This window comes from Homo sapiens, chromosome 9 (assembly GCF_000001405.40).
Source record: "Homo sapiens chromosome 9, GRCh38.p14 Primary Assembly".
Taxonomy (NCBI): domain Eukaryota; kingdom Metazoa; phylum Chordata; class Mammalia; order Primates; family Hominidae; genus Homo; species Homo sapiens.
The window spans coordinates 39,881,045-39,895,085 of record NC_000009.12 but is presented as its reverse complement, the minus strand read 5'-3'; the positions used below and the strand labels follow the sequence as shown (position 1 = coordinate 39,895,085).

The 14,041-nt window shown below is 34.1% G+C and overlaps 2 pseudogenes; one reads left to right on the top strand and one right to left on the bottom strand.

The window, feature by feature from the left end:
- Positions 1–2,545: 2,545 nt before the first annotated feature.
- LOC124900278 (uncharacterized) lies at positions 2,546–2,640 on the bottom strand (annotated as a pseudogene).
- Positions 7,942–8,225, top strand: RN7SL763P (RNA, 7SL, cytoplasmic 763, pseudogene; annotated as a pseudogene).

Below are 14,041 nucleotides of genomic sequence, written 5' to 3'. Positions count from 1 at the left end.
TAACTGTAATAATTTCCTTATAATCACACTAGTTTTCCTTTGGTGCCACAAGATGATGAATCTCACTTTAGTGTGACCAAGCAAAATGAGGTACAAAAACAGTCCAATCAATGTGAAAATATCTCAAATTCACATGAATTTTAAAAATATTTTATATGTAAATTAAATTAGAAATTAAATATATATAATATATTTTATTTCAGAAATATTTGCTTGCCTTTTGGAACTCAAAGTTCAAAACCTTCTATTGTCATCTTTAAATAACTAATTTTTAAGTTAATTTCTACTTGGTTCTATGAAAATACTACCACACAATGTGGAGATAAAGAAAACATTTACAGAAAAATTGTCCATATGGACACATTTTAAACAGATGATCTAATTAGCATAATAGCCACCAAACTGGTAAATAAACAGTTTTGTTGATTTGCTGCTTAATCAGCATCTATTCAGAATTCTGTAATATTGTTTAGTAAAACAGTTTATTTCCATCCATAAATGTATTTTATAAATTTATGCCCAGTAAACTTCCAGGTAAACCATCGAAATATTAACTGTTTTCTACAAGTGGTGGTCTTTTTTTTTAAGCTGGTTTCTATAATGAATTGATGAGAGTGAATGAAGATTAAAATGCTTATTCTGTAATAAAAGCCAATGCCAGCATGCCGATATATAATCTCTATAGATCAAAAAATATTCGGCCGGGCGCGGTGGCTCACGCCTGTAATCCCAGCACTTTGGGAGGCAGAGGCGGGCGGATCATGAGGTCAGGAGATCGAGACCATCCTGGCTAACGCGGTGAAACCCCGCCTCTACTAAAAATACAAAAAATTAGCCGGGCGTGGTGGCGGGCGCCTGTGGTCCCGGCTACTCGGGAGGCTGAGGCAGGAGAATGGCGTGAACCCGGGAGGCGGAGCTTGCAGTGAGCTGAGGTCGCGCCACTGCACCCCAGCCTGGGCGACAGAGCGAGACTCCGTCTCAAAAAAAAAAAAAAAAAAAAAATTCATGCCTTATTCTCAGATTTTTAATAGTGGCTCTAAGCAGTCTTAAAAATTTATTATTTAGACACCTTATCCTATATTTTAAAAATATTTTCTTAGTATACTGTGGATGTTATACAAGTCATGTAATGGATAGAGAATTTCTTACATAAATTTACAATAAAATTTTTTAAATAAAACTTTTGTGAAATTATTTTCAAATGTTATAAATGTTAATGAGTTTTGTTATATTGGTTCCAATATTTCTCACATATGGAAAATGTCATTTTCCCTGGGAATTAATATTTGGAACTGGTGTTTAAGAAAAACCATGTTTGATGTTGGAAAATGCTATGTCCGGTATAACTATAGATGTTTGGAAAGCAGCTCAGTTATGCTAAAGATAAAGAAAGGAGAGAAAAATGACAGAAGGGGAGGTTTGAACAAAACAAAATAATACCTGAAAATGTTGAATGGATATGTAATATTTGTGAATGTTTATGTTCTCTATTTCACCATTATTTAAACATTTATATTTTCAAAGGGAGAAAATAATTATATTTTGAAATCATTTTATTTTTTTATAGAGTGCTGTATTTTTTCTTTTCAATTTCAATTTGGTAAGCAAACAAAATCAGTCAGAATATTATACATAATTAGGTTTCCTTTTTGAGATTTGTTGAAACTCTTTATCCTTTATGTATGTATTTCAAGTAGTATAATAAAAAAGAAATATAAAATGATTAGATATACATAAAAGTATTGTAGATTATGTTTTTCATATTTTCTTTCTTTTAATGTATTTTGCAGATATAGCCATTCCAGATTATGATTTCACAAACTAAGATGATTCTCAGTAGGGAAGCGTTACTGCATGTCGTTTTCATCAAAGGGAGCTTAGTTTATTTGCCTGTCTGAATATTGACATTATATTACTAATTTACACATTGGGGAAAGGGTCAAGAGAACTCCAAATTTTTGTTGACTTGATATTAACCTGAAAGGGGAATGTTAATAAATGACAAAATATATCCACAGTAGTTAGACATCAAGTTGTGTTTATTTTTTTAATCTACTGCATATTATTGAATTATTTAGATAGATAGATAGATAGATAGATAGATAGATAGATAGATAGATTGATTTATTAGATGTACAGGAAATAGAATTCACTGGTGGGCATGCGTAAAGAGGGGGCAGCTCTTTTCTAATGCAGGGCTAGCTGCTTGTCCAGGGGCCCATGATTCCAGGGCTATATTTGGCCCCACAGCCATCCAGGATGAGTTGTTTCTCAGCCACCAAGTCTTAAAATGTATATGCATTAAACTTAGTAAAATCGCACTTCTTTGAGATGTGGCTTTTTGGGCATTCACTGAACTTGAATTTGGCCCTAAATAAGGCCTCAGTCACATGCTCCAGGGTTTGCAGCTTGGTATGGATGAACATGGCCAATGTGAACTCTGACCTCTGGGTCCTGAGGCTTTCCAAAGGCATACTACATCCGGTCTTAAACCTAGACTAGGGAAAGCACTAGATCCAAGACATAAATGTCCAATGGCAAAGGCTGTTGTACGCAAGGAACAGGCTGCTGTACACTACCTAGGATGATGCTGTTTGCAGCCCTTGCACACCAGGCCCCATGTGGCTTAATTGATTGTAGAAATTATTTTATATATTAAGTTTTTGGGGATTCATATCTTTTATTCAAGATAGCTAAATGTAATTTATATTAGACCATATACAGTAAGTTGTAAATTATAGAAGTTGTGCTTATCAAAATCATATTCAGTGGGCAATATGGCCTTTAATATAATGAAGTTTACTGATAAAAATTAAAATAAAATAATGTGGTTTTGTAGTGCTCTTGTATGTCAACTAAAACAAATTAACAAAACCTATTGAAACCCATAATCATTTAGACTATCTACTTACACTTTGGGAGGCCAAGGTGGGCAGATCACCTGAGGTCAGGAGTCAGGATTTCAAGACGAGCCTGGCCAACATAGTGACATCCCATCTTTACTAAAAACACAAAAATTAAACAGGTGTGGTGGTGCATGCCTGTAATTTCAGCTACTCAGGAGGCTGAGGCAGGGAGAACTGCTTGAACTTGGGAAGGGGAGGTTACAGTGAGCCAAGACTGGGCCACTGAACTCCAACCTGGGTGACAGAGGGAGACTCCATCTCAAAAACAAACAAACAAACAAACAAACAAAAACACAACAAAAAAACTATCTACTTAAATACCATTCTATTAAAATAAATATTTTTCTGTGATCTTAGGTTTGTTTTGTCTCAATAATATAAATAGTGTATTGGTTGTCTCAAAGTGTTAAATGGAAGCATATTTTATGGCATTGCTGAAATATCTACCAACTTTTCTTACTGTAAGTTATGCAATGGTGCATTGATTAATGCATTGGAACTTGTTAAGCAGTTTGCATGTCTGAAAAACCAAGGTTCAGAGGTATGTAGGTTAAATCCGGCAATCAAATATCAGAGAGATATTTCAGAATATTATTTTTGTGTACCAGAAAACACTTTTCAAAAAAAAAAAAAGTAAGGGCATTAGGAAGGCATTGTAAGGTTAATCTTTTCCAGCAAAGCTATTACATTTATTTTTCTGGAGTTCTTTAGTTATAAAAAGTAGAATGTAGTTATAGGATCTAGTCAGCATTAAATTGATTGAAAAAATGAAAAACACTGTTTCATTTTTAAATAGATTAACAATTAAGCAAGTTGTTTATGTTGTCCCACTGATATACTAGAATATGCTACATTCTTTTGGGCATCTTTTAGACCATAGGGCTAAAATGTTGAGAATGACAGAGAGACAATTAGGTGCTCAGCACAAAGCAAAATGTTATGAATCAGGAAAATAAATAGAACAGAGATCAAAATTAGATAGATGCAGAATTGGAATGATACTGAAAACAAGAGATGGAACTGCAGAAAATACTATGGCAGATCATTCATTCCTTTGAATGGTGAAAGTAGTTAATACAATGGCTAACAATTGAAATGGAAAACCAGACCCAGATGAAAAAATGCAAACCAGTAAACTTACCTAGTCCTATTATTTTACTCAATTGTAGGAAATACATGAAAAAAAAAGTTGTTCATTATGAATCCTTTTTTCTAACATGGGAAGAAGTCACCACTAAACCTTTCTCATTTTTTTACTCAAATGTTTGTGTTTTCTCATAGAACTTATAATTTTAATTTATTTTTCAATATATGTTTCCCATACAGTCTAGTTGGATTCATAGTTGCGATGTTTCATGTGGTATATTTGCTCCCTATGGAACAGAACATAACATTAATCTTTAGATGTGTCACTAGAGAGATTTGTATATATCCACATAAATCTACAGTTGCAACTAGAAAAATTATCCTGTGAAAATTTTGTGATATGAATGTCTTTCAACTTTTTAAAATTTAAAGAGAAAATGATGAACAAATATGAGTTGGAAATCAGAATGAACAAATCATGAAAATATAGTGTACCCCTTCAAAAATTTTGAAAATTAAGAGAAATCGGTAGAACAGCTGTATTATCATTTACAAAAATGTTTCTCTACCTATAGAACAAACAATTACTTTGTCCTCTAATTTCCAAATAACTTACAGAACATTTATTTCCTACTGTCACTGGAATGGCAGGCTGGCAGGCTGAGTTGGTAGCCCAATTGGTTCCTCACATCAAAAGATTCCCTTTATTATTTCCTTATTTTCTCTTTAATTCTGGCACTCCTTCATGATTGAACTTACAGATGTTCTTTTGTCTACTAATTTTCGAGTAAGCCTGTGCTCTCTATAACTTTCAGTCTCAATATCCTTCTACCATCAGCCTTTTGTCTAAACATTCTTATTCTGGTTTGTTTCCCTGAACTCTTGACATCAATCTCTGTTCCTTCAATATTCTGTTTCTTCTACTGGAAGCATTCTTTCCCAGATTTCACCCACTTTACTCTTCTCAATCTCTGTGTCTGAGTTAAATGCTTCCTTAGGTTTCTATGTAGGATTGTCTGTCCATCTGTAATTTTTCTATATCTCTCATGTTAACATACTTATATCCTTTACTGAAAAATGTCTCCTTTAAAAAAAAATCAATGTGTTTGTTTACTTTCTTAAAATGCCGTCTTAAACTGCAAGGTCAAAGAAGGTAAGTATGATATTTGGATATTAATATCTACCACTTAATACAGAAACTATTCTAGCACTTGTATAGGCAGTATAAGACATAATTTTAGAACTCTAAAATAAAAACTCATAAACTGAAGTTAAATATCCATTTCCCACTGCTATCTCCTTTTCCTTTTAACACATTGATATCATTTGGATCTGTGTCCCCACCCAAATCTCATGTCAAACTGTAAGTCCCACTGTTGGAGGTGGGGCCTGTTGGGAGGCAATTGGATCATCGGGCGGTTTCTCTTAAATGGTTTAGCACCATCTCCTTGGTGCTGTTCTTGTGACAGTGAGTGAGTTATTGTGAGTCTGGTTGTTAAAAGTGTATAGCACCTCCCCACCTCTCACTCTTCTTCCTGCTTCCAGCCATGTGAAGTGCTGGCTCCCCCTTCACCTTCTGCCATGATTGTTAGCTTACTGAGGCCCCCGCAGAAGCCCAGCAGATGCATCATGCTTTCTGTATAACGTGCAGAACCATGAGCCAATTAAACTGCTTTTCTTTATAAATTACCCAGTCTCAGGTATTTCTTTAGAGCAATGTAAGAAAGGACTAATATAGAAAATTGGTAGAGGAATATGATATTGTTGTAAACATACCGGAAAATGTGAAAGTGGCTTTGAAACTGGATAGTGGGCAGAGATTGGAAGGGTTTGGAGAGATCAGAAGAAGACAGGAAGATGAGGGCAAGTTTTGAACTTACTAGAGTCTTGTTACATTGTTGTGACCAAGCTACTGATAGAGACTCACAATGAAGTCCAGGCTGAGGAGGTCTCAGATGGAGATAAGGAACTTAATGGGAACTGGAGCAAAGGTCACTTTAGTTAGGCATTAGCAAAAAGGTTGGCTGCACTGTGGGCCTGCCCTAGGGATCTGTGGAATTTTGAACTTGAGAGTATCTCAAGTTCTGGTGGGTATCTGGTGGAAAAAATTTCTAAGCAGCAAAGCATTCAGGAGGTAAGCTCACTACTTCTGACAAACTATTTTGATGTGTGTGAGCAAAGAAATGACCTCAAACTGAAACTTATATTTAGAAGGGAAGCAGAGTGTAGAAACTTGAAAAATTTGCAGCCTGGCCATGTGGTAGAACAAAAAGCCCATTTTCAGGAGAGAAATTCAAGCAAGCTGCAGAAACTTGCTTAACTAAAAGGAAGGCACATGCTGATAGCCAAGAAAATGAGGGATACCCTCCAGGGCATTTCAGAGACCTTTGTGGCAGCTCCTCCCATCACAGGCTCAGAGGACAACGAAGGAAGAATGGGACACTACTACATGCATCTCATCTGTTGCAGCTCTAGCCATGGCTCCAAGTGGCCCAGGTACAGCTCAGGATGCTGCTCCAGAGGGTTCAAGCCATAAGTCTTGATGGCTTCCATGTGGCATTAAGCCTGAGGGTGCACAGAGTACAAGAGTTGAGGCTAGATTTCAGAGAATGTATGAAGAAACCTAGATGTACAGTCAGAAATCTGCTGCAGGGTCAGAGCCCTGATGGAGAATCTCTACGAGGGCACTGAAGAGGGGAAAGGTGGGGTTGGAGCCACCACACAGTGTCCCTACTGGACCACTATCTAGGGGAACTATGAGAAGAGGGACACTATCTTCCAGACCCCAGAATGGTAGATCCACCAGCACTTGTACCGTGTGCCTGGAAATGGTGCAAGCACTCAACACCAGCCCTTGAGAGCAGCTGTAGGAGCTGAACCCTGCAAAGTCACAGGAGTGGAGCAGCACAAGGCTTTGGGAGCTCACCCCTTGCAGTGGTATGCCCTGGATGGCGTCAAAGGAGATTGTTAAGCTTTAAGACTTAATAACTTTCCTACTGGGTTTCAGACTTGCATGCGGCCCGTAGCCCCTTACTTTTGGCCAATTTCTCCCTTTTGAAATGGGAGTATTTACCCAATCCCTGTACCCCCATTATACATTATATCTTGGGAGTTTTTGTTTTTTTTTTTTATTTTACAGGGTCTTAGGCAGAAGGGGCTTGCCTCATCTCAGATAAGACTTTAGACTTTGGATGTTTGAGTTAATGCTGAAGTGAGTTAAGACTTTGAGGGACTGATGGGAAGGCATGATTATATTTTGCAAACTGAGAAAGACAAAATTTGGGAGGGACTAGGGCAAAATAATATGGTTTGGATCTATGTCCCCAACCAAATCTCATGTCAAATTGAAATACCCAGTGTTGGAGGTGGGGCCTGATGGGAGGTTATTGGATTGTGGAGTGGTTTCTTTTTAATGGTTTAATACCATTTCCTTGGTGCTATTCTTATGATAGTGAGTGAGTGAGTTATTATGAAATCTGGTTGTTAAAAGGGTGTAGCACCTCCTCACCTCTCACTTTTCTTCCTGCTCCCAGCTATATGAAGCACCGGCTCCCTCTTCATTTTCCCACCATGGTTATACATTTCATGAGGCCTCCCCACATGCCCAGCAGATGCAACATTCTTTCTGTACAGCATGCAGAACTGTGAGTCAGTTAAACCTCTTTTCTTTATAAATTACCCAATCTCAGGTATTTCTTTATAGCAATGCAATAATGGACTAATACACACCTAATAATATTATTTCCTTGAATCACGCAATCAATTAACAAAATCCTCTGTGTGAAATGGCTGGCTTCCTTTTATTGGTGGTTAACTGCTAAACAATATTTTTGGCATTTCAATTTTGTTGTTATTATTGTTCAAAGCTTGTACAAAGCCTCCATCAAGTAGTCCAATTCTCCAGCTTCTGTCACTCCTGGACAACATTTGTATTTAAAAATACCTTTCAGCCAGGTGACACACACCTGTTGTCCCAGCTACTCAGGATGCTGAGGCGGGAGGAACACTTGAGCCCAGGATTTCTGGGTTGTATGCACTATGCTGAGGAAGTGTCTGCACTAAGTTTGGCATCAATATGTTAGCTTCCAGGGAGCAGAGGACCACCAGGTTGCCTAAGGAGTGGTCAACTCAAAAATTGAGCAGAATAAAACTCCTCTGCTTATCAGTAGTGGGATGACCCCTTTGAATAGTCACTGCACTACAACCTGGGCAACATAGTGAGACCCTATTTCTTAACAAAAAAAAGAAAGAACTACCTTCCATATTTCTGCAAGTATGTGAGTTATCTTTGATGTAGTGTTACCTTTTCGCAGTGAATGAAGTGTAATAACCTCTTGCTCATTTTGTTTACAAAAATAAATAAATAAATAAAAGCAGGGACATTCTAAGTGGAATCAAGTTCCAAGTAATACAGACTTAATACTATTTATAGAATAATTCAATTTTATGATATATTTCATGTGTTGCTATCCTCAGTTATATTTACTCATGTATAGTTACACTTGTCAATGTCCTAGCTATAATCACCTATTTTTAGATTTTAATAAATGTAATTAAATTAATAGCATTTCTATTTTTATAACAAGTTCTAAAATTAAGCCACAGTAGAAAATTCATGATAAGATTAAGTTTGATTTTTATTTCACTTTTATATGTATGAATCTTAAGAATTTGGTATTTCCTATCTAATATTTGTCTTTCTGTTCTTGGAAACTAATTTCAAATTATTTACAAGTTTCAGAAGTATGCAGCCAGTGAAGAATCCAATATCATTTTGTTCAATATACCTATAATTTGAACTTAAATAAGTATACTTCCACAAATGTCACTGAAGCAAGTATTTCAAGTATTTATTTCCAGGTATAATTTCAATTATGGGGTATTCAGATATCTTGTTATATCAACAACTAAACATAATATATTACATTATTTGAGATATAAAAAGTATATCTTGAAAACAGTGCAGTTGTAAATCTTTAAGGTAGGAAAGCAGCTCAGCAAATGTTTTCCTCCACTGTCCATGAGGCAAATGTCTAATGACTGTACACACACACTCACACTCACACACATACATACAAATTCTGTCTCAAATATAGATATATATTCACACTCTGATTCAATGAATTCAACCTCATGACTAAGGATTTGAATAGATAGTGTTTTTTAACCTTCATCCTTTCCTCTACTGCAATTTATAATTGAATTAGCTTACTTATTTCCCAGTAAAAACATTCCAGCATTGTGATACTATGATAAGGTTAAGATGTGAAAGTGTTTTTTACCATTTATTATAGAAAAACTATCTTATTTTCAGATTTCTAAGAACCTTTTCAAATCCACCAAGGAAAAGTGTCTATGCCTTATAGATTGAAAAGCTCATCTTTACCAGTTAATTTACATTTTACTTTTTCCTAAAATATAAGGCTCTCCATATCTGTAGGTACACAGTTTGACTTAATTATCCTATGTTATATATTGTACATAATTATATGAGAGATAATGGCAATTTAAACAAATAAAATGATGGCTATTTCTTTTTATTAACTTCATCATATTTCACTGAGGTTTTCCTTACTTTAGGCTTCCTCGATGGCTGCAATGTATGCTAAAAGTAAATTTTTATGTGAAATGTTTAAAATATTTGAAAATGATGCTTATTGTTTGTCAGGTTTTGCCACTGTTAGCATGACTCAGTACCCATAGAGTCTGTCTCTTAGGGATGTGAAGCAAATGATTTCTCTGATCCAAAACATTTCATATGCCTTAAAAGTCAAACAATGCAAAGATGTGATATTTAGAATACTAGTTACATAATAATGGATAATGACTTAGCTTTTAAAACAACTGCTTTAAACATGACACATTTAAAGCTAATTTGTAACTTTCATATGTTTCTGAAACTTTTACAGTCACTAAATAATTTGAGTAAAGCAAATGGGTTTCAGACCGATTACAATTTGGAAAGATTGATTATAAATTTTTAATAATATGTAACAAAGAAAAATGTGGTCACTTGATTATATACCTCTTCCCCAAGATCAAGTAAATACTTTATCAATAGAAAAAAGAAAGAAAAGCAAAAAGAAAAGAAAAAGAAAGCAACACTGCTATATAGAACATTTTTTTTTTCTAAATGGAATCCAGCAGCAAAAAAAAAGATAATTGAAGATACTATTAAAAGATACAATTTAATATTAATATTGACCACATTTATAAATTCACATAATTTTATAAAACATATGCACTTCTGAGTATAAAACACACATAATACAAAAAAGATTATTACATTTTAAATTGTTAAAATTTCCTCAATAGTTTTTCCACACCTGATGATTACTCTCAATCTCAACAAGATAATTATAAATGATGTTTATTATTCAAAATAGATTATTTTGTGTGTGTGTTTTATTCAATTAGGTGGTAAATTATAAGATTTTGCCAGGTGATTCAGAGAAGTAGCCTGGAAAAGTTTATATAGATGGTACTAAATGAAAGATAGAAAATTAAAAATTTATAGTTAAATTTATTAGAAACTTAAAATTCTTTAAAAAATTATAGTTAGGTAAATAAATCAACTAAATTTTTCCTTTTTCCTTCATATTGCAGAGTGTATTATTCCAGCCGGTTTACCATGCAGGCTTCCCAATTTGATACTAATTTTAACCTGACTTTTATATATCAATATTAAAGAGACGAAAAATAAATGTGATTTTCTCCAGCTCTATATCCCTCCAAGGAGAGCTTTGGAACTGAAATCCTAATCAGGGGATACATTTTTAATATTTTTGTCTCAAATGAATTTGGAGTCCTCCATAGTATTTCCAAAGTTGCAGAGCAGAAAAGAGGTTACCAATAAAATTGGGTAGTTCTCATCCCAATTACAGAATTAGGCCAAGTTATCAGATATGCAACAAATATCCACTCAGAAAGATTGAATATTTAAATATTTTAATTTATGAAGTATTAGCCTATTGCTCAGTTAAAGTATTTTGGAAATTTTTCTTTAAAAAATGTATCAAACTTGTGGTTAGATGACATTACTGACTCATTTTGCATCTGATCAAAACAAATAATGCATGAAACAAAGCAATGTAAGTTATAAAGCATTTTAAAATTGAAATAAGAGATCTTTATTTCTGTTGCATATCAAATGGGATTTATTGACTTCCTTTTCTCAAAAATGTCATATAGAAAACATTTCTACCCTCTAAAAATTACTAATAACATTAGCATCAATGATTTACAAGTAGACACAAGTAAGGTGAAACACAGATTAACTCATACCATCAAATTCATATGGCCAAGTATAATCCCATTATATAACTATTTTCTATCACTAAGCATAGTCCAGCTATAAGTGTAAAAGGATGACGAAAAATGTTGCTAAAACATTAAGTGAAAATATACTGAAAAGAATCCCCAAAGACAAGAAATACAAGAACACACCAATTTGCCATCACACTTTATGTTCAGCCCTTTAGTGAAAAAAAAAAGTTTTCTAATTAATATTTCATTTACATTGGGGACAAGTACATAATGTAGTCATCAATTTGCTTAGATTCTGAAATACCATTCATTTATGTACATATTTTCTCTATTCAAATGTACTATTCACATCACTTGTCAATTTGCATATATTAAATCATCATGCAAAATTTACCATATTTTGAATATTTTATTAATAATGACCCTTTTCTACAATTTTTATATGCACTTAAATTTTAAACAGCCAAACATTCAAAGGCTTAAAAATCAACACTTGAATTTTAAAATACTATTTGTATGAAATGAAATATTTAATTACAAATGTTAACTATATGTTATTGCTGTAACTATTGGGATAGACAGTGGGCAGTTAGTATAAGCTACTTTGTTAATAAATAAAATTTTAAAAATAATCAATGGAATGTTCATTTCAAACTACTTTGTTATTTCATTTCATTTAAATTTAGCATAAACTTTACTTCGGCAGCCAATTCCTTAGTTGTTCTTCTCCATTAACTCATGACTACTTTAGCTCTTGATGCTAAGCATGATGATGTTTGGTTTCAGAAGTTGCCACATTAACAATAGGATCCTTGAAGCTACAATCATGCTAAGCAATTTTGACAATTTTATATTTTATAGGGCCTAGTTCTAACATTCTATTGTTATTTAATTTTATAAATATTTTTAAAAATCTTGTTACTAAATTAAAAATAGACCTCTGGAAAATAAATCGAAAGGTTTTTTTGTTTTTTGTTTTTTGAGACAGAGTCTCACTCACTCTATCACTCAGGCTAGAGTGCAGCAGCCTGATCTTGGCTCACTGCAACCTCTGCTTCCTGGGTTCAAGCGATTCTGCTGCCTCAGTCTCCCAAGTACCTGAGAATACAGGTGCCCACAACCATGCCCGGATAATTTTTGTACTTTTAGTAGAGATGGGGTTTTGCCATGTTGGCCAGGCTGGTCTCAATTCCTGACCTACATGATCCACTCATCTGGGCCTCCCAAAGTTCTGGGATTACAGGCATGAGCCACTATTCCCTGCCAAATTAAAAGTTTTTATATGAAAAAGATATACACAAAGCAAAGATACTTTTACAGTATGAAAGTGAATTATAATTGAGAAAAATATCTGCAGGCCATAATAGAATAGTTCTATTTCAATAGTTCGCAAACAATTTGTTAGTTCTGCTAAATAAAAAAATTTCCAACACTTGTTAAAATGGTTAAGGATCACTTTATTTAAGATTAAAATGATAGGTGTCAAGATGATTCTAATAGGCAAGAGAGATAAGGTTCAACTCTGAACACAGCAAAGATATCTGGGAAGTGCAGCTAATGAGCAGAGTGAAAGGTTGTCAATGAATACAAATTACTAAGAGGAGACATCAAGGGTAGGGGATTTCTTGTTAGCTAACGTAAGAGGATTCTTGCTGAAGGCAAGCCAGAGTGATCAGATATCAAGAGTGGGAGATTCTCTCTAAACTGACTTAGCAGCATTCTTGCAACAGCTGGACTAGGCAGTGTAAAGACAGGGCCCAAGGACAAAGTAGAGTCAAAAAGAGTGTTCCTAGAAGCCTGACTAAAGCGTAGACAAGAAGAAAGTCTTCATCAGTTCCAAAGTCACTTTCTATACTTATGATTTGGCCATGAGCATTCCTATGTTTACTTAGTTTGGAGGAGTGGACTCAGCAGCATGTATGTTATGGGAAAAAAAGAGATTTGGAAAAATTACTTACATAAGTTTGAAAGGCAAGATGAATCTGGCCATATGGTAAAATCCAACAGAACTCTTCTGGTTATGAGTAATTTGTAAAATAATTCATACATTGCCCATTATATGCATTAGATATATGTAAATTTTACCATGCTTATTCTTCAGAACAGAAAAAGTGAAATACAAAGGCAAACATGGTAAAGCAATTTATTTTAGTTTTTGTGAGTTGTTCTTCTAGAGTATGTTATATGACTCTATGCCCTCAGTTTGAAACTCTCATTGAACCATATCTAAATTAACTAATAAAATGAACTTTGAATTATATATGCCACTGTGTGCAAATTAACATTCATTGACTGTATGTGTATGTAAATATTGGCCAGTAAACAGAGCCATTTACATCTTCATAAAGAGAATAACACTTCCAACTAAAATTCCTTCTAAAATTGGACTCATATCAATTGGAAGTATTTCAAACAATTACTAAACTGATTTACTTGAACAAATATAGAAAATATTATCTAAGCTATGTGTACCTATTTTTTTATATTCCTAGAAATTAGGGGGAACTTTTATTTCCTTTGATTGAATATGAGTTTCTAACTTAACAAAATATATAATAGTGAGTCAGTAAAATGAATACTTTTACCAAGGATGGAAAGTGTTCTGAATTATCTAAAAGACATTTTCATTGCAGTTAACATTTGCCTGTGTAGATCAGATTAATATTAAAATCTATTTTTTTCTTTTAACAAAATTTAGCAAATGAGGAATTTTCTATTGGTTCATTTCTTCTGACATTTCTTCTATGTTGACCCTTCTTCCACTTCATGTTGCAAGATGTGAG